The 21,740-nt window shown below is 41.2% G+C and overlaps 1 protein-coding gene across 14 annotated transcripts; it reads left to right on the forward strand.

Moving 5' to 3' along the window:
• On the forward strand, positions 259-12,286 carry SLITRK2 (SLIT and NTRK like family member 2). Of its 14 annotated transcripts, none has more exons than XM_005262343.4 (5): positions 259-456; positions 2,904-2,966; positions 3,173-4,314; positions 4,435-4,593; positions 4,813-12,286. In XM_005262343.4, exon 5 carries the CDS (start codon positions 4,856-4,858, stop codon positions 7,391-7,393), a length of 2,538 nt encoding a protein of 845 aa, XP_005262400.1. In that variant the 5' UTR covers positions 259-456; positions 2,904-2,966; positions 3,173-4,314; positions 4,435-4,593; positions 4,813-4,855; the 3' UTR covers positions 7,394-12,286. The 14 variants fall into 14 exon arrangements, with proteins under 14 accessions (XP_005262400.1, XP_005262399.1, NP_115928.1 ...); XM_005262342.4 differs by having other exon boundaries at positions 4,435-4,583; NM_032539.5 differs by having other exon boundaries at positions 3,778-4,314; positions 4,435-4,583.

Genomic DNA, 21,740 nt, shown 5'->3' on the forward strand with positions numbered 1-21,740 from the left:
CCGCAGCGCTTGTCAGAGAAATGGAGCAGCGGCTCCTTTGTGGGCTCTTACATCCCCGTCCTGGGTGCACAGCCCGGATATTTGATCTGTGGGGTGATTGATAAGTGAGGGAGAGGGGGGACGCGATCCCTCCCTCCCTCCTCCCTCCCTCCTCCCTCCTCACTCCCTCCTCCCTCCTCCCTCCCTCCTCCCTCCTCCCTCCCTTCTTCCCCTCTCCTCCCTCCCGCTTTACTTCCCTCCTCCCTCTCGCCTCCCTCCCTCCTTCCTGCAAGAAGCGTTGCCCGTTGGCTAGCTGCTCGGTGGGGATCTGCCTGCCCTGGGGGCGCCGCCCGCGCTCCCCGCGGTGCTCTCGCTCCTGGGCTGCGCCAGTCCGAGGCGGTGCCGGCTCCTTTGCCTCCCCGAGTCGCAGATGCTGCGGGCGCCTCCGGGAAAAGATCTGGGCGGCGCGCTCGCTCGGTAAGTTCTGAGCACTCAGGGACGCGGTGGCGACGCGGCCAGTGAGCCGGCTTTCCTCAGTCCGTTGCCTTTCCCGGCCACCTCTCCTTGCGAGGGGCACCAGCGTGGGGAGGCTGGGCGCCATCCGCGGAGGGCAGCTCGCTGGCGGCCGCCCTCTACCCTCAATCCCCACTGGAGATTCCTCACCCCGGGACCGTCCGCGCGGGCGTGGTCGGGCTCCGCGCCTCGCGCAGCGGGGTGGCACAGGCGGCCAGGGAGGGCCCACGCACCCGGCGCGAGCTAGAAGCCTCCGGTCGGCCTGCAGTGCCCAAGTCCCATGGCGAGGGCAGCCCGAGTGGCCGTCGCGGCTGTAGGTCCGCATGCCGGGCACCGCACCAGGCGTCTAGCAGGTAGGGGCAGGGAAGGTAGGGCTGCGCTGGCGGCCGGTGCCCAGTTACCGGCGATCGGGGACGCTCGGAGACACCTGGTCTCCCGGAAGCGCCCTTCGGAAATGGGATTCGACCCGGCTTGCGGGCGGCGGGTGTTTAGAAGAAGAGGCTGCGGGCAAGCAGTGCCCCCTCTCTGGTTCCCCGGACTCCTCTTAGCCCCCTCGTGGCCTGATGGGCGGCCGGGACGGAGGTGGGCTGTAAGCCCGCCGGCACCCACCGTGTCCTGTGGAAGGCTTGGAGACCTGAGCCAGGCTCTACTCGGTTAGATGCGAGTGAGACAGGCGACGGAGTTCGTCTTTAAGCCTCCCTTGCCTCAGCAAGGAGAGGGAGCGTTTTCCTTATTTTAATGACCGCCTTTCCCTCCCTTGGGGTCCCAGTTCACCCTGAACCTTTCCACAGCCTTAAAAGCCCGCTCTCCCTAGCGGAGTGCTGCGGCAGTTCTTCAGAAGACACGGGGCCAAATGAAACTTACTTAAAGTGGTTATCGCGTTTCAGGCTGATTTGTTCCTAGTAACTACGTTTTGGAAAGCAGCTGTGGACTCTCAAGGACAGGCAGGAACGAAGACCTCCTTAGGGTCCGAGTGTCGCTTCCCACAGTTAGATTACCCATGAATTTCCTTGATTCTGTAGGTCTCAAGAATCTCATGAGCCCCCAACCACCTCCACCTTTCTCTCTGAATCTCTCTCCTGTCTCTGAAATTCTTCGCAAAAATAATCTGTCCTCAAGGAATATTGAAAGCGTCATCAATGTCTTGAAGGAAATTACTGTATCTGAGAACCGAAACTAGTATTTGATGTTTCACTTTCAAATACATTTTTTTTTAATAAAAAGGATACCTTTAAGTAAAACACTACCACTGCTATTTACGTTTAAGTAGATTTTTAATTCATATTAAGCAGTAGTGTGCTTTTTGGAAAGATGATGGACTGGGACTCATAATCCCTGGGTTTTGTTTCTATTTGTAGTTTCTTGAGTAAGTCAGCACTTTCCCTGGTTAAGAAATGACCTCATCTGTAAAATGAACCTGACTTCTAAGGTCTTGTTCGGCTCTCACGTCTTTACTTCAGTTAAATATTGACATAATACATGTTTGTTGAATGAATGACTGAATGAATAAATCTTATTGCTCTAGGAACTATGTGCTTTTAACCTTTGGAAATACATAGAAACAAATGCCTCCTTTGCTAGGAAAGGGAGCTTAATTGTGCTCCCACTGCATCAGACTGCTTCCATCTAATGATGCAATTGCAATACAGGGTGGGAGGCCATCCACAGGGCTGTCCCTCTGCCTCAGAGCTCATCTCAAGTTTGCCCTTCTCTATGGAGAAGGAAAATTTGAGTCTCCAGAAGGAAAGTATTTTGCTAAACGCCAAGCAAGAATTAGAGGGTAAGGGGGCTTCTGATGCCTGGTCCAAGGCTCTTAGAAGAAGAAGAAGGAGAAAGGGAGAAAGCTCAAGAAAATAATGCACAGATCACCAGCTACAGGTGGCCCTAGTGCCTAAGTTTATAAACTACCCCCGCCCTTCCCGGAGAGAAAGGAGCTTGTATAAAGGGAACAATCCTAGAACCTAGGCTTAACAAGGAAGGAGAAGGGGAGAAGCAAGGGTCATTCTGTTCTCAAGTGGTTTGTTGTATCTGTGTGTTTATCTATTCCACATTTGGCCAGGCAGTGGGACTCCGGGAAAGCAAGCTGAAGTGTTTTGTGGGACAGGCACATCATTTGGTCAACTCCTTTTCCCTGGTTGATTCCCTCCTTTTCCTGACCCATCTCCCCCTTCCTACCAGAGGCAACCAAGGCCTTTCCAGGCAACAGCAGACATTATTTACCCCTTGCGAATTGATTCCACAATGGAAGACTCTTGGGTCCAAGGAGCTGTAAGATAATTAAGGAGAAAACAGATAATGAAGGCAAAAATCCAACACCTGGCCATTAGCAATGCTCTGGAAAGGCTATTTAAACCCGCATTGGATATCAGAGCTGGGAGGGCCCATACAGTCTACCTACCTGCCTTTTGCAGATGGACACAGGAAGATCCAGAAGCTAGTGGCACATCTAGCAACAGAGCCAGATCAGAACCCAGGTAAGCTCGGTCTCAGGCCAGGATTCCTTTTCCATCTCCTCTCTTTCTCAGGAGCCAGTCTTCCTGCACCAGCTTCCTCTTTTCTCCTAGCTCCCCTGCCCCTGCAGCCTGGAGGGCTCAACCACCCTTCCTTTGGCTCCCACTCCCAGCTGAGGCTCAGCCTGGCAGTGCTTTTCTGACACCCACTTCTTTTCTCCTTCCTCCAGGCAAGAAGTGCACGTTTAAACCTCATTATCTGGCTAAGTATAAACCTCAGGGAGAAAAGGGGTTTGTTTTTGTTTTTCTCAGTCTATAAGCTAACATTGAGCTGACTTTCAGAGTCCAGGCAAATATGTTTGGTGGGTCACCACCCAGAAAGGAATTCTCTTAGCACTGAATCAGGGCTCTGTATGTAAAGTATAAATCCCCTAAGAGAACTCCTCACCCTCCTACACAGACACATTGGTGCATGCACACACACCCCACTCTCTGCACAGAGAGCATCTGAGCTAGGAGCTGGCAAGTGGGGCACCAGTCCTGTAGCAAAGAGGCACACCACACACACACACACACACACACACACACACTCTCTCTCTCTCTCTCTCTCACTCACACACACACACACACACACACACACACGCTTCTCCCTTGCTTGGGAATCTGGGAGAAGAACCCCCCACCCCCACCCCTGCCCTCCATAGGCATTGTGTAGGTGAGAGAAAGAGGGAGGAGTGAGAGAGAACACACAGAGGGGCCCAAGGAGGTGCCAGGCCATTAGCAGGGCCCCTCCTTGAGAAACCCCTCTGCAGGAGCTTCTCCTGCCGCCAGCCAGGTTGGAGGTGGAGTAGTTCAGAATCAACTGACGCAGCCGGGAATTGAGCTTTGCAAAGCCACTTGCAAGGAAGGGAAGCATCTGCCCAACCCTCCCCCACCGCGCGCCCTGGATCCTCTGCCTGCCCCCTCCCCCGTGACGTCACCCTAGTCCTGTCCCGGGGAGCCTGCAAAGCCTCTCAGATTCAAACTGCTAGACGCACTGCTGCCACCGCCACCGAATTGGAAACGCGCGCCCAGGCTCCGTCGTCGCCTTCGCCCGCCGACCGGGCCAGCCGGCTCTCCGACCTCCCTACAGAATCGCACCCCAGTCCCTCCCTGGCAGCTCGGCTTCCCTCAGCTCCAACTCTTCTCTTCCGCTCCTGCCTCCTGTCGGATTTTTAATTTCTGCGCACCCCCAGTCAAATTAAATCAACCAACAAAAAGCAGGGCATCCCCCCTGGAAGCAGCGTCTTATTTTACCTTGTTCTCCCACTTCCTGAAGATGCTAAACTCCTGGTGGACTGCAGAGGAGAGGGATTCAGTCTTCTCCTGATGTGTGAGTAACCCCCACCTCGCACTGTCTTTCCCATCTCTATCTCTCCTCTACACCTGCCGCCAGCCCCCTGATTCCTGATTTTCCCACCCCCTTTTTGCGCTTTTTTTTTTTTTCCTAAAGCGATTGCGATTTCTGCTGGGAGCTCAAGACGGGCGAGCTGCCCGAGATCTCTTCGAGATACCCCAGGGGAGGAGGAGATGGGCAGGATTTAGTAGGACAACTCGGTTACTAATGACTTGGCGGCTGGCTGCGACCCCCCGGGAAATCAGGTGCAAGCATGTGTGTTCCCGGGGCGCGTGTGTGGGTGGCCTCGGGATGGGGGAATAGGGAGCGGAGAAAAGAAACCGCTTTGGAAAATGCAATGATTTCATTCTGCCGTGTTGCTAACCCCCTCATTCTCCCTCGCTCCCACTCCGCCTCCTTGCTTTACCATTTTTAATCGGGCTTCCTTGTTTCTTTCTTCCCTGCACCCGCTTCTTCCCCCTGCCCCCACCTAAGGTTTGCCTGTAGGTACCTGAGTTGACACCGAAGGTGCCTAAAGATGCTGAGCGGCGTTTGGTTCCTCAGTGTGTTAACCGTGGCCGGGATCTTACAGACAGAGAGTCGCAAAACTGCCAAAGACATTTGCAAGATCCGCTGTCTGTGCGAAGAAAAGGAAAACGTACTGAATATCAACTGTGAGAACAAAGGATTTACAACAGTTAGCCTGCTCCAGCCCCCCCAGTATCGAATCTATCAGCTTTTTCTCAATGGAAACCTCTTGACAAGACTGTATCCAAACGAATTTGTCAATTACTCCAACGCGGTGACTCTTCACCTAGGTAACAACGGGTTACAGGAGATCCGAACGGGGGCATTCAGTGGCCTGAAAACTCTCAAAAGACTGCATCTCAACAACAACAAGCTTGAGATATTGAGGGAGGACACCTTCCTAGGCCTGGAGAGCCTGGAGTATCTCCAGGCCGACTACAATTACATCAGTGCCATCGAGGCTGGGGCATTCAGCAAACTTAACAAGCTCAAAGTGCTCATCCTGAATGACAACCTTCTGCTTTCACTGCCCAGCAATGTGTTCCGCTTTGTCCTGCTGACCCACTTAGACCTCAGGGGGAATAGGCTAAAAGTAATGCCTTTTGCTGGCGTCCTTGAACATATTGGAGGGATCATGGAGATTCAGCTGGAGGAAAATCCATGGAATTGCACTTGTGACTTACTTCCTCTCAAGGCCTGGCTAGACACCATAACTGTTTTTGTGGGAGAGATTGTCTGTGAGACTCCCTTTAGGTTGCATGGGAAAGACGTGACCCAGCTGACCAGGCAAGACCTCTGTCCCAGAAAAAGTGCCAGTGATTCCAGTCAGAGGGGCAGCCATGCTGACACCCACGTCCAAAGGCTGTCACCTACAATGAATCCTGCTCTCAACCCAACCAGGGCTCCGAAAGCCAGCCGGCCGCCCAAAATGAGAAATCGTCCAACTCCTCGAGTGACTGTGTCAAAGGACAGGCAAAGTTTTGGACCCATCATGGTGTACCAGACCAAGTCTCCTGTGCCTCTCACCTGTCCCAGCAGCTGTGTCTGCACCTCTCAGAGCTCAGACAATGGTCTGAATGTAAACTGCCAAGAAAGGAAGTTCACTAATATCTCTGACCTGCAGCCCAAACCGACCAGTCCAAAGAAACTCTACCTAACAGGGAACTATCTTCAAACTGTCTATAAGAATGACCTCTTAGAATACAGTTCTTTGGACTTACTGCACTTAGGAAACAACAGGATTGCAGTCATTCAGGAAGGTGCCTTTACAAACCTGACCAGTTTACGCAGACTTTATCTGAATGGCAATTACCTTGAAGTGCTGTACCCTTCTATGTTTGATGGACTGCAGAGCTTGCAATATCTCTATTTAGAGTATAATGTCATTAAGGAAATTAAGCCTCTGACCTTTGATGCTTTGATTAACCTACAGCTACTGTTTCTGAACAACAACCTTCTTCGGTCCTTACCTGATAATATATTTGGGGGGACGGCCCTAACCAGGCTGAATCTGAGAAACAACCATTTTTCTCACCTGCCCGTGAAAGGGGTTCTGGATCAGCTCCCGGCTTTCATCCAGATAGATCTGCAGGAGAACCCCTGGGACTGTACCTGTGACATCATGGGGCTGAAAGACTGGACAGAACATGCCAATTCCCCTGTCATCATTAATGAGGTGACTTGCGAATCTCCTGCTAAGCATGCAGGGGAGATACTAAAATTTCTGGGGAGGGAGGCTATCTGTCCAGACAGCCCAAACTTGTCAGATGGAACCGTCTTGTCAATGAATCACAATACAGACACACCTCGGTCGCTTAGTGTGTCTCCTAGTTCCTATCCTGAACTACACACTGAAGTTCCACTGTCTGTCTTAATTCTGGGATTGCTTGTTGTTTTCATCTTATCTGTCTGTTTTGGGGCTGGTTTATTCGTCTTTGTCTTGAAACGCCGAAAGGGAGTGCCGAGCGTTCCCAGGAATACCAACAACTTAGACGTAAGCTCCTTTCAATTACAGTATGGGTCTTACAACACTGAGACTCACGATAAAACAGACGGCCATGTCTACAACTATATCCCCCCACCTGTGGGTCAGATGTGCCAAAACCCCATCTACATGCAGAAGGAAGGAGACCCAGTAGCCTATTACCGAAACCTGCAAGAGTTCAGCTATAGCAACCTGGAGGAGAAAAAAGAAGAGCCAGCCACACCTGCTTACACAATAAGTGCCACTGAGCTGCTAGAAAAGCAGGCCACACCAAGAGAGCCTGAGCTGCTGTATCAAAATATTGCTGAGCGAGTCAAGGAACTTCCCAGCGCAGGCCTAGTCCACTATAACTTTTGTACCTTACCTAAAAGGCAGTTTGCCCCTTCCTATGAATCTCGACGCCAAAACCAAGACAGAATCAATAAAACCGTTTTATATGGAACTCCCAGGAAATGCTTTGTGGGGCAGTCAAAACCCAACCACCCTTTACTGCAAGCTAAGCCGCAATCAGAACCGGACTACCTCGAAGTTCTGGAAAAACAAACTGCAATCAGTCAGCTGTGAAGGGAAATCATTTACAACCCTAAGGCATCAGAGGATGCTGCTCCGAACTGTTGGAAACAAGGACATTAGCTTTTGTGTTTGTTTTTGTTCTCCCTTTCCCAGTGTTAATGGGGGACTTTGAAAATGTTTGGGAGATAGGATGAAGTCATGATTTTGCTTTTGCAAGTTTTCCTTTAAATTATTTCTCTCTCGCTCTCCTCCCCTCCTTTTTTTTTTTTTTTTTTTTTTCTTTTTCCCTTCTCTTCTTAGGAACCATCAGTGGACATGAATGTTTCTACAATGCATTTCTTCATAGATTTTGTTTATGGTTTTGTTTCTTTTTTCTTCTTTGTTTTTCAGTGTGGGAGTGGGAAGAGGAGATTATAGTGACTGAAGAAAGAATAGGCAAACTTTTCAAATGAAAATGGATATTTAGTGTATTTTGTAGAAGATCTCCAAAGATCTTTTGTGACTACAACTTCTTTTGTAAATAATGATATATGGTATTTCCATCGTCAGTTACCGAGTATAGCCACTGGGTATCACTACTTTGTGTTAAAGTGCCTTCGCACTTTAAGTACATTACTTAAATGTTGCTTTTAGCTTTGATAAATTGAAAATATTTTAATGTGTTGTATTTTTGAAATTGAAAACACTGTAAAATAGATTGATGTGTCAGCTATATTAAGTCAACGTACAGTTTGCTTGAGTTATAGAAACCAGCCTGTCATCAAATGATTCTAGTTCTAGGACTTTGTAGGCTTAACTATAAAATATTTCCTTTCCTCTGGGTTTAAGTGATTTTATTTAAGTCAACTAAGGGGATTTAACAGTGGACTAGAGGTAATAAGCCACCTCAGTCAGGATTAATAATTCATTAATAAAATATATTTAACCCAATATCAGAGTGAATTGAGCAATTAATGCCCTTCCATAAATCATTATTTTACACTAACATGGTGAGTGTTTTAGATTATTTTCCTAATTAAAAGAACGTGACACAGCTAGTAATATATTTTTCTGCATTGAATTAGATATTTTTATATATTTAAATGAAAAAGTCTGTATTTCTAACTTTTTAATTGAAATTAATATTTTTTCTGCCTATTGAAACATTTTCTATAAACACACACCAGTAGAGGCCGCCACACACCTCATTTAACAAAGACATATGAGCCATTAAAGACCTCGAAGGAAGACTTCATGGGTGAGATTAAAACTTCCCAAGTAAGTTCTCTGCAAAATTCAAGGTAGCAGAGATAAAAATGTATCCATTACTCTATTTATTTTAGATCACGGGTTAGACTCATAATCCTTCTCAAGTTTAACACTTTCTGACAAAACAGCATTTTCCTCTTGAGTTTAATTGAAGCATTAATGGGGTGCTATCAAATCAAGTACTATTTGCGTCTCCAAATCGATTAATAGTTACCTAAACCAAGACATTAAGCATCTTTTTCCTTCTGCCTTCTTTAGGCTTGTGTTACTTGAAGTTTTCCTTGTCAGCTTGAGCAAGACTTTCATTTTGGTGTTAGCATTAAAATGATTTTAATTAGCCAAGTCTATATAACATTTATGAAGCCTTATTAGACTGTAAATAATTTTAGATGCAAACGTGATTGTGTGATTTAAACAAACAGCCCTTCTTTACAACAAAAAATAGTTTTGTTTTGTCTATTGTAAATCCTTATGCAACTGGGATGGTGATCTGCATATAAAGTAGTTCAGCTTTTCAATTCCTTATTAAAGCAAGCGATGGCGTCTGAAAGAAGCACACTGTTTCCTTTTCATAAATAGGTTACTGCACATAATAATCCTTTATCGTCATGTGGAGATTGAAGTGGATACTGATAACTTACTTTTAAAGCTTTAAAATTACCAATAGTATATTGTCTGTCACTATAAACAATTCATGTGATAGGCTTTCAATTAGAAATTCCTTAAATCCAAATTATTTGGATTAATGATTACTGGTGTAAAATAGTTGTTTGTAAAAACAATAGAAGGTAATTGTGTGTATATAATAACGTAAAGGGCATTGAAGAGAAACATATCTTTAACAACATAAAATCTCTGAATATCTACAGTGGCAAGCTAACATGCTCATTCTTTGATTAGAGGTGATAATTCCTATTTCGATCCATTAGAAGAAAGTTGAAAATGGTGGGCTGAAATGATCTTCAAGAAAGTTAATGTACAGATATTTTACATTTCACAGAAGAGGAACTAGAATATTATGCTAGTTGAATGTGGAGAAGACTCCTGGAAACCACTTCATCTTTGAGTGAAGTATTTATATATAAAAGAGTTTCAAAAATCCTTTTCTGACTGCTCTCATTTGATGCAATGATAAATACAGAATACAGAGGTAGGTATTTTGGGAAGTGATTGTGAAGGCAAATTTGCATATATATTCTGTTAAGATCATTTTCAGGCTTAAATTATATGACTAGAGGCTCTTGATGCAGTGATTCCACTTCAGTGTTCATTTTTATTTTTCTGAAAGTAAAGATACTCCTGTAAAATGCCATTGTCCATAGAAAAAATATTAACTCATTAAGTTTAAAGACAGATGATACCTTAATATTAACTTACTTACACGATTTTAAAGACGCCTACTGAGAGAACTCAAATTTATAAACTCTGTTGCCTAATAATTATGGTTTAATTCTATATCCTCTTGCTTGTTACAGTTATACTTAATTTGCAGTAGATTTTTAAATGAAATTATTTGAATGTATTCCAGACTATTTTATTTAAAATCATCATACATCATATACTTTGAACCTTTATTTTCTAATGCAATCATAAACATTTTAAGTTTTATTAACTCACTAGCATCCCCACTGACTATATTCTGTTTTGCTTTATCTGCTCAAGCACTTTCGACCATATTTTATTTTAGGATTTTTATTTTTATCTTCCACAGCTGGATATTGCTATTTCACTTTTATTTCACATGCAGCTTTAAGACGTATGAGCATCAGCACAGCAAAATGGTTCCAGCCTACAGAATGCAGTCTCCCAGGGCCCTGCCAAGAACATATCTGTATGTCTGGCCCTACAAATGACAAATGGTAATTCCCTTCTATTTTAGCTCTTAATTAGTTGCTTTCACTATTTCCGAATATACCTGTGGCTAAGTTTTTATTGAAACACTCAAAAATACCACTTCTCAGTATGAACACAATTGCTAAGAGCCTAATTTGGTTCTGGACTATGGTCAACCTGTGTGCCTTGTTAGTTCTCTCCAGCAGCTGGTGAGTAAGGAAATGACCCTTCAATTTCCTCTTCTTTTTCCTCTGACCTCTGTGACTTAATTTTTCTTAATGTCTCCAAGTCATCAAGGGCTTAATAATTTATGAATTTTACAAAAAGCATTTAAGGAATAAGAAAGAGGTTCTGTGATTTTTCAGACTCTGAAAATTCATTTTGATTCTACATATTCCAGAAATATACTGGGTTGGATGCTAGAGTGAAGAAAGCCGTCCAGACAATTCTCCCAGTCCATTCATTTCTTCATTCATTTGTTCATTCAGTAGTTATTGAGTGCTTATTTCCTGGGTGCCTGGCTCTAGGCTATGTCCTGAGACATACAGTGGACAGGGTCTCTACCCTCCTCACAACACCCTCTTCACCCTCCACGCCACCCCCTACTACTCACTCTCACCCTAGCAAGGAGCTTCGTGCTAATAAGAGAGAGTCTTACCTGAATGGCAATCGCCCAGATTAACAGTGGAGACAGTAATGCAATGCAGGAAGTTAAGTTTTTAAAGGTGATTCTGTGCAGTAAGGTATAAAACAGATATATAATAAATAGCCTAGCTTAGTCTAACATCTCTTTAGAATTACACAGCTAAAAAGGAAAAAAAACACCAAAATAAGATAAAATAAAACAAATTTAAACACCAAAATAAGATATAATAAAACATTTGTTTTTGCAAAATAAGGCCCAATGTTATGGCCTAATGAAAGCTATATACTTGTGCTATCTAAAGCACTACTTTGTAAAGATGACTACCCAAGATTGTAAATACAAAATTTAAAAAGGTACTTAAATTTTCTGGAATATCCATGTTTCAGAGGTAATATTTACTTTCTATTTCAGTGGCTTAAATTATAACGTTTTGGCTTAAGTGTCTTTTATCAATACAATGATAAGACACCTTAATCCTGAGAGAGAAAATTAAGTACTGTATATAGGTGTACTTTGCTTCTCACAATGATTGTGCAAAAAGTCACGTGTAAATTGAACTTTTGTAAATCAAATTGTATTTTAAATGCATTAGGGGAGCTGCCATTTAGAGGAAACTTGTGAATTCTTTCATAAAGCAGAAAACCATTTTATAATACAAATAACCATTCTCTGATTTATCTCTTTTGTATGTTTGGATTTTCAATATCGACTTTGCTTAAAACAGAGCCCACCTGCATAGTAACTGTGTTTTGCCAAGGCTGCTTGTGCTACCAGTTTGCTGGTGGCTAACGGCTTGTGCTTGAAAGTCTTCTGAAGTCTGATGTGAATTGAGCTATCAAGCAATGCTATCATAGCACAGTAGCAGTCCTGAACAGTCTGAGCAGCCAACCCATTTCAACAAAATTGAACACAGGACTCTTCTGCTCAGCAGCATCTCTTTTCTCAGATGTGGCCATGTTACAGTAGAGGGTATTCCATAAGCACATATTCCATAAAGTGCTCAGAGTCACAGGTTTTATAATAAATTATGTTATTATGTAAACGAATTGCATGCATGTTGAAATTTTTTAGCAGTACTTTAGCTTGAAAGTACTCGTACAAATACTGTTAGATTTAGTTGCAAATAATTGTTCTCAAGTTATTGCAATAAATGTCAAATGAAACAAGCTCTTGTGTAAATAGACTTCTGTGCCTAATAGTGACATTGTTTCAAAAAATAAATGTCATATTTTGGGCTGTTAATAGGCAAAATGAAACATTGGAAATGTGATCAAATGATCTTGGGTTTTATTGGATAAACTGTTTACACAGTTACTTTATGTGTAATTACATTTCAGTTAATAAATAAATATTCACTAACAACACTTAAATTAGTTAGAAAAGATATTTAGAGTCTGAAGAGGAAATGAATGAGAAACTATAATTGAAACTGTTTTCTTCGCCTTGATATGCTCACAGATAAAGGCTTTGATTCTTTATATGATTAGTTTACATGTTTAAGGTAAAATAAGCTTTATAAAAATATATATTCATACTTTTCCATGACTGTTCATTAGTATTAGACTTAAAAAATTACAAGTAAACAACAACAAAAACAATTCAAATAGAGATGCTTTGCTAAATACTGAAAAAAGTACTGATTCCCCACTCTCCTCACCAGACACAGACATACATCTACACCAGAGCCAATTGTTTTTTAATTATAAAATTCAGTCTAACACCGTATGTGACCTAATATATTTGTACTTAATAAAAGACTGACGTACAAATCCAAGGAATATAAATTATGAGTTCATTAATAGAAATGCCATCACTGTATTCCTAAAAAGTAGATTTAGAAAAAATAATGAGAGAGAAAGGCAGGGGGTTCATTTGTTCCTATGATTATGGTGATATAATGGCAAAGTTACTACTTTGGCTATTTGCATTTGGTTGAATATTAGAATATATCTGCCAGGCATGCTCCAAATCACAAATGTATAACATAACAAAGGATTTGAGATTCCTGTGGGAACATGAGGACTTATAACAAATTATCCTCTCTTAGGATTACCAATATATGCACAATATATTCAGTTTATTCACGTAGCCTTCATAGGGCAGCTGAAACAATTGGAATAGCCACATTCAAAAGTGTTTTGCTAAAGGAGAATTGGTGCCAGTATACCAGGTTATTAGATCCCTTGACAAGATCAGTTGAAATGAGAATAAAAGTAGTGTACAGCTCCCCATTCTGAACACATGTAATATAAAATATTAAGTTCATAATGTGCCTGTTGATACTGGAAAAAGAGCATCAAAATAGGCCGGGTGTGGTGGCTCAAGCCTGTAATCCCAGCACTTTGGGAGGCTGAGGTGGGTGGATCACTTTAGGTCAGGATTTTAAGACCAGCCTGACCAACATGGTGAAACCCCATCTCTACTAAATTCAAAAAATTAGCTGGGCGTGGTGGCACATGCCTGTAATCCCAGCTACTTGGGAGCCTGAGGCAGGAAAATCGCTTGAACCCAGGAGGCGGAGGTTGCAGTGAGCCGAGATTGCGCCATTGCACCCCAGCCTGGGCAACAAGAGCGAAGCTCCGTCACAAAAAAAAAAAAAAAAAAAAAAAAAAAAAAAAGCATCAGAATAGATTTTGTCAATCTTGGAAGGGGTGGAAAATGTTCCTCATCCATACTTCCCTGAGCAACAACTTTGTAATTACTTATACATCATTTTTGTTAATTTTATTTTAAATTATTATTTTATATTTCCTATCAACATTTATGATAAAAGAACATTTAAGCTATTTATCTGTCAGATTGTTTCCTGGAATTTTGGGACATTTTGATCTTGGCAGAATGTGGACCACAACATACAATCTAAGGTACTTTCCAGCTCACAAAGAGACTACCAGGCAGACAAGATTTGTGATGGACTGTACTCTGGGTAATCCTCAGACAAATCCCTCCCTGATCTGCCTTTTACTTTTATATTGTTAACACCTGGCATAGTGTTTTGGCGCATAATACCTTACTCTCCAATAAATACTTCTGTTTAGTGAATAAATGAGTGAATGGGTGAATGAGGCTCTGGTTCTCAAATAAATGCTGAAAAATGGTTGAAAACTAGAGGATCTAAGTTTAAAGCATAATTACAATGAATTATCAGCTGTTCCTGGAAGTCTTAAACTATTTGGTTTGAATATTTTCAGAATTTTATGAGACACACACACACACACACACACACACACACACAGAGAGACATACCCCATGAGGATGGCAGAGAAGTGTAGTAACACATAGCCAAGATCTAAAGTTAATTACATGCAGGCAGGCCTGATTTTTTAAGTGACACTTCGGTCTGTCCATTGAACCCAATGATTTCATTCTAGAGTTAAAAGTAGCTTTACTGCAGAGCGGTGAGATTGTCTTGTTATTGGCTTTTGGAATTGGGACGTTCTGAGTTAAGAGAAAATGCAGTCTCTGACGAGCTTGAATGATAAATTCTTCCAGAGCTTATCATTTAGTTTTTATTATGGCTCTGTATATTTGATTGATTTGTTTCTTATGTCTTCCAGAGAGAAGAGAAATTATTTGAGTTAAAACCATAGTAAATCGTATTTCTGTCAAAACAAGATTGTTATGTACAGTTCAATTTATACAAAATAAGAGCCTACAAGTGGTATTTCACAGTGAAGAGTCCTAGGATCTGAGGTTCTGACCTTAGTGTGGCTATAAAGCTGTGAGGATAAGTTGTGGTTCTCATTGGGCCTCAGCTCCCTCATCTGGGAACAGTGTTGGACTAGATGAACTCAGCGGACACATTCAACTTTGGTTCTCTGTGATTGTAGGCTACTTCGGAAATGGTTGCTACACACAAGACAAAATAGGGATTGAGACAATTATTATTTAAGCCTGAAAATCTCTTATACTTCTCTTTTCAGTTGTCTACTTTGGATATAGCCCTATTCTGATTTTTTTCTGAAGGATTCAAATGCACAATTTATCTTGGGTTAATCTCTCTTTCTAAGCTTGACTTAAAAAAATTTTAAGCCATTTTCCTCATTTCTTTGTAAATCACAAAACCCTACTACCTTTTTTTTTTGGGGGGGGGGGATTGTGATGGATTTTCCATTTATCTATTTTTCAAGGAGTTGTCTTTTTTTGTTGATAAGTGAATTTAGTTATCCTCCGTGACAATTAAACAAAGTAAACTATGAATCTATCTAGGTAGACCACATTATCACATTTCAGGGAAAATAGCATTTGTTTTTTTATTTAATGTTTTATCACCTCTCCCTTTTAGCCAACACTGCCAAGTTTCTTATCCGGGATACTGACAGACCCTTGGACAACTCAGTTGAGCTTCAGAAATTCAGTGATTCATTCCAGTGAGCAAAGCTCTTAGCTGACTAGAGGTGTTTGGCCTCTTCACGACCATAAACTTCAGCCATAGTTTTATTTCTGGACTGATGTGTCTCCATCTGCTCATATAGATTTTAACTGGAAACAAAGAAATAAAGCCCTCAATATTATAATATTCAGCCGATATGTTCTCGTGTAAGAGTAGAAAAGAGGAAAAAACGTATCCATTCAAAACGTTTCTCTGCTTTCCAGAGGTTTCTGAGGGGTTTATTAAAAGCATTCGCGAATGAAAGGAAAATCCAGCAACAGTTGGCTGCGTGTTTGTTTCTGTCATGTTACAGAAGGTTATTAAAGAGGCAGTGTAGGTTATCCTTGTCCAAACCCCACCATCTTAAAAATAAATTTAAAAGGATGTCATTGGAATATTAAAGACTTATAATATGATTACATTTCAAATATTTAACTTGAAATTTTTGAACAAAATATATTTTATTGACTAAGTTGATTTCTGAAAAGCAAATAGATTTTAAGTAATAATCTGTGTAAGTTAGGGTAGGCGTTTGTTGAAATAATTCATTAGTTTTAAACTGCATTTATTCAGATTTTGCTTTGCTCAAATTCATCAGAAAATTGTTCAGTTCTACTATGCAAAGGGCTCAGTTGTTCTGAAATTTTAAAAATAAGCTAATTTTCCTGTTCTTACAGACTAAAATGAGGAGAAGCTCTGTCTGTATTGATGTAGCTTGTTTTTCAATCATACTTTCTGAGTTTCTCTGTAGGGCAAAATCAAATATACAAAGATGGGTATTTGTACAAAGACAAAGTAAAGTCTTAGAAAAAGAAGGGTAAATATATACTTTCTCAAATGATTTATAACAGAGGGCTAAGAAATAGGGAGTTTCACAATCTCCTCTTACTGTGCCTGTCCAAGAGAAATCCTTCCTAAGTCATGATCTCTAACTAGGAGCCAAATATTTTTGCTATTTGAATAAGATTTAAAATTTTACTGGGCTCTGTTTTGCTCTTCTCAAATCACACTGATTCTTTCTCATTTGCTGACCCGAGGAGGATCTGATAAAAATGAGATTTAGCCTCCATGCTTCTGCGAATTCTCTGTGTGACACTGGACCAGGTCCTTCCCTTCTCTGAGCCTCAGTTTTTTTGTTTTGGTTTGTTTTGTTTGTATTTTTGTCAGATAAAGTAGTTAGATTTAGCCTTCCCACTCAATAAAACAGTTGAATAAAAATGAAGCCATTGGAGAAAACTGGAATCCACTTTAATTCATTGAAAATAGTAAATCATTCTCAAACTTGACACATTATTATTAATAACAAGTTATTTTCAACAAACTTCACACCTGCTCTCTGACACACCAGTGAACACATTTTGACCAGAAGTTCTAACATTCCTTTTTGCTTAAAAAAGGCCTCATGATTTTATTTCCCTCATTCTTATTTCAGCTCTTAGATATTATAATTGTATAAATCTACTTACACAAAGAGTATGAGTAATTTCTGGTAATCCTTATGTGGTAACAGATTGCCTCTAAAAATACAATTTATGCAGTGCTCACTGTGTGCTGAACATTCAAGCAGATGCTGCGCACATCTAAAACAAATCCACAAGTGTTCCTGCAGGCTGTGTGTGGGCCCAGCCCTGGGGCAAGATGCTGGGCGAAAATGGAAATCTCACTAGCCACTGAATCTTCCTCAAGGACCTCCTGTATGTTGGGGAAACAACATACACACTTGAAATAAGACATGATGCCTGCTGTTGAAGAATTTATAACCAAATTGGCAAGATGAGCTGCTAATCCTTGAAGAAGATATGGGAGGTCAGGATCAGAAAAGAAAAAGATCAATATGGACCAGACTGGCATGATCTAAGAAGGCTGTGCGGAGCAAGCAGGACACTGAAACAGCCTTGAATTGAGAAAGGCTTGGGCAATCAGCAAGCTTGAAAATGTAAAGACAGGAATATGCATGCATACAACAGTGACAAGAATACTACTGGCTGAACTTACCTTTTCATGGTTCTGAGAGCCAGAAAAGGGAACTTGGACTTGAGTCCAAAAATAATGGAAGGTTCTCCAAGCAAAACAAAAGTTATAAAACTACTAATATTTGTATGCGGTCTTAGAAAAATGTCACATGCATTTCTATTGATATTCCTTGTCCTCACCACTTGAGATTGTTATGTCTGTGTTAGAAGGAGGAAATTGAGGTTTAGGGAGTTTTAGGGCTTGCTCCACTGACCCAGTGACTATAGGGAGAGGCCAGTTTAGCTAGGATCAGCACAGATGGGTGTTCAAGAGCAGGCACTCTGGAGCCAGCATGCCCCCGTTTGAAACCCAGCTCTGCCACTTACTAGCTGTGTGACACTGAGCCAGTCATTTAACTTCTCCAGGGCTCAGTTTTCTCATCTGAAACAAAGAGACAATGATTATATATAACTCAGAGTGTGGTTGTGAGTATCAGTGAGTTAATACTTAAAAAATAACATATATTTGTTGTACAATAAAAGGTGCCAAAGAGATAATTTGAAACGAGTTATGACTGAGTTTTTACCCACATCCTGTCCACTCCATCACTGAGTTTCACTGGATAAACAGAGACGCATTGAGTTGTCTGGCTGAAAGAGTGATCTGAACATTTGGGCAGAGAGGAGGCTGAGTTCTAGGAAGCTGCTATGGTAGTTCAGGGATAAGAAAACGAACCCCTGCGATTAGGGAAATGAAGAGAAGATAGAGGAAACCCTGCTTCTATGTTCAACCACAGGCTATCCACAAGCTGGGAGGACAGATTGATTTCTTTTTCTCTTTTCTTTATGCATCTTTCTGTTCTTATTTAACATTACATCTCAAAGATCTTTCCATATCAGCATAAACAGAACTATTGCTTTTTAATAGCAGCTTTTCTTTTTTTCTTCTTTCCTTCATTCTTTTCTATTTATAATTGACAGACAATAATTGTACATATTTATGGCGTAGAGCGTGCTGTTTCAACACATGTATACATTGTATAATGATCGAATCAGGATAGATTGCATATCCATCACTTTAAACATTAATTTCTTTGTAGTGATGACATTCAAAATCCTCTCTTCTGCCTCTCTTGAAATATATACTGAATTGTTATTAGCTATAGTCACCTTACTGTCTAATAAAGCACCAGAATTTATTCTTCCTGTCTGACTATATCATTTACCTCTCATGCAAACTTTTCCAGCCCCAATTTCACCTACCCTCCCCAATCTCTGGTAACCACTATTTTACTCTCTAATTCTATGAGATCAATGTTTCTAGATTCAACATAAAAGTGAAATCATGCAGTATTTATCTTTCTGTGCTGGGTGTTTTCACTTAACATGATGTCCTTCAGGTTCATCCATATTGCTGCAAATGACAGGATTTTATTCTGTTTTATGGCTGAATAGTATTCCACTGTGTATATACCACATTTTCTTAATCCATTCATCCACAGATGGCCTCTTAGGTCGATTCCCTATATTGGCTATTGTGAATAGTGTTGCAATGAACATGGGCCGATATATCGCAGATATATCTTCAATATACTGATTTCCTTTCCTTTGGCTATATACCCAGTAATGACATTGCTAGATCATATGGTAGTTTGATTTTTAGTTTTTGGAGGACCCTCTCTGTTATTTTCCATATTGGCTGCACCATTTTACATTTCCACCAACAGAGCACAAGTGTTCCCCTTTCTCTGCACCTTCGCCAGCGTCTGTTATTTTCTGTTTGTTAATAGCCAGTCTAACTGGAGTAAGGTGATAACTCATTGTGGTTTTGAGTTACATTTCCCTGATGATTAGTGATACTATACATTTTTTTCATATACCTGTTGGCCATTTGTATGTCTTCTTTTTAAGAAATGTGTATTCGGGTCTTTTGCCAATTTTTAAATTGGATTATTTGTTGTTTTGCTATTGAGTTGTTTGAATAAGATTGATCTTTTAGAAAGCCATATTTAGTAACATGTCCATTTTTTATAATCAGCAGATTCTAAGCATAATAATATTAGTATTCTCTAAGGGAAAGGCATAAGGCAAATGGATTTTGAAAAAGGACTATTTTCTTCATGGATTCTTAAGGGAGAGAACCTTTTATTTATTTATTTTATTTTATTTTATTATTATACTTTAAGTTCTAGGGTACATGTGCACAACATGCAGGTTTGTTACATATGTATACATGTGCCATGTTGGTGTGCTGCACCCATTAACTCGTCATTTACAATAGGTATTTCTCCTAATGCTATCCCTCCCCCCTCCCCCCACCCCACGACAGGCCTCGGTGTTCCCCACCCTGTGTCCAAGTGTTCTCATTGTTCAATTCCCATCTATGAGTGAGAACATGTGGTGTTTGGTTTTCTGTCCTTGTGATAGTTTGCTCAGAATGATGGTTTCTAGCTTCATCCATGTCCCAACAAAGGACATGAACTCATCCTTTTTTACGGCTGCATAGTATTCCATTGTGTATATGTGCCACATTTTCTTAATCCAGTCTATCATTGTTGGACATTTGGGTTGGTTCCAAGTCTTTGCTATTGTGAATAATGCCGCAATAAACATACGTGTGCATGTGTCTTTATAGCAGCATGATTTATAATCCTTTGGGTATATACCCAGTAATGAGATGGCTGGGTGAAATGGTATTTCTAGTTCTAGATCCCTGAGGAATTGCCACACTGTCTTCCAAATGACTGAACTAGTTTAGAGTAAGGGAGAGAACCTTGAACGGGTTTGGTTATTAGATGAGAAACCTGAGGCCACCTGACGAAGAATTTCAGCCTTACACAAGATTCACGTAGGCCATCTAGGCCTTAGATATGTGCGGAGCCAACTTCAGGGGCATATAATCTGTGCAGTTGTGCAGAGTCTCAAGCTTAGAAGTCTCAAGCTCACATTTGGTTTAATGCTCTGCTCCTCTGATGGTTCTTGAAATTATGAATAGCTTTTGAACAAGGGACTCCACATTTTTAATTTTCACTCGGCCTCACAATTTATGTAACCCTTCCTAGGTCTATGACACCTGTGACTCAATTAACCTGCCACAAATTCCTCTTGCCTAAGGCAGATCTATTTCTAATAGGACCATTACCTTATGAACATCCCACATTCTGTCGTTTTTCTGACTATCTGTGTTTTATCACATTGTCCTCTCAGACGAGGTATTGAACTAAATGGAAGTGTGGATGTTTCTCCTTTAAACACTCTTTAAATACGCTTTCTCCTTAAGTGCTCTTTATTCATGTTTTACTCACCTTTTTAGCTAATTCAGACTGCGTATGTGTGTGTGTGTGTGTTTAAGAAAAGTAAAAGCATCCGTGCTAAAGCAGCAGCAGTGGGGGGCAATGCAGCTTTTCTGTTCTGTGCAAAGTCTGTTGTTATCTCAATAGTGCAGAGCTGTTGAGAGTAGCTGGATGATTTTGCAATGTAAGAAGAGCAATTTAGTTTTTCTAGGGCAGGTAAAAAATGGCTTGCATTATTTGAGGAGGCTTTGTAAGAAAGGAATTGTGTACTTTTAAAAACTCTCCATTTACCTCTGTCACCTATGCTGTGGCCACAAGAATAACTTCAAGTGGGGCCAGATTTTACTCAGCAGAGCAGCCTCGAAAGTGAAGGACGACGAAGGGAGCAGAGTTTTCTTCATTTGAGAACATAAAGAAAAAGGAGCATTTTGAGGGGAAGAGAACTTGGAAAAGTTGACGCAATACATTACAGCAGGTGTAGAAATGATGGAATCCTGATTCACAGGATGGATATTTTGGTTTCATTCTATTGCTTTATTATAGGTAAAATTGTTTCAAAAGGCTTTGAGAATTTCTATTAAATGGCATCCGGATAAGTTTTCTTAATTACTCATAGTAAAACTCCTTAAACAGTAAATGAAAAAGGTCACATTAGGACATTATTGTACAAGCAAAGACTCCCCCAATGCCCATGCAAAGATTTCTAACTAGCATTTGTCCCACACATAGGAGGAGTTCACAGGCAAACCTCACAGCTGCCTTTGAAGCTGGCATGTTTGGAACCCTAAGCCACTGGATTGCATATCAGTCTTCTGTTTTCACAAGACCTAAAACCGTGTGTCTCACTCAGAATGCAAATAAGTCATAGGGACAGCATTGCCTTGATTTACGGGTTTGGTCTTTTTGACCTGAAAACACATCAGTTTATTGAAGGGCTGTGTAAGCACTGGTGTGACTTAGGCAGTTCAGACTGTATGTTGGGCTCTACGGTTAGGGCTTACATTTATTTATGTATTTATGTTTAAATAAAAGCACTCAGCACATTGTCCATTGA

This window comes from Homo sapiens, chromosome X, assembly GCF_000001405.40.
Source record: "Homo sapiens chromosome X, GRCh38.p14 Primary Assembly".
NCBI lineage: Eukaryota > Metazoa > Chordata > Mammalia > Primates > Hominidae > Homo > Homo sapiens.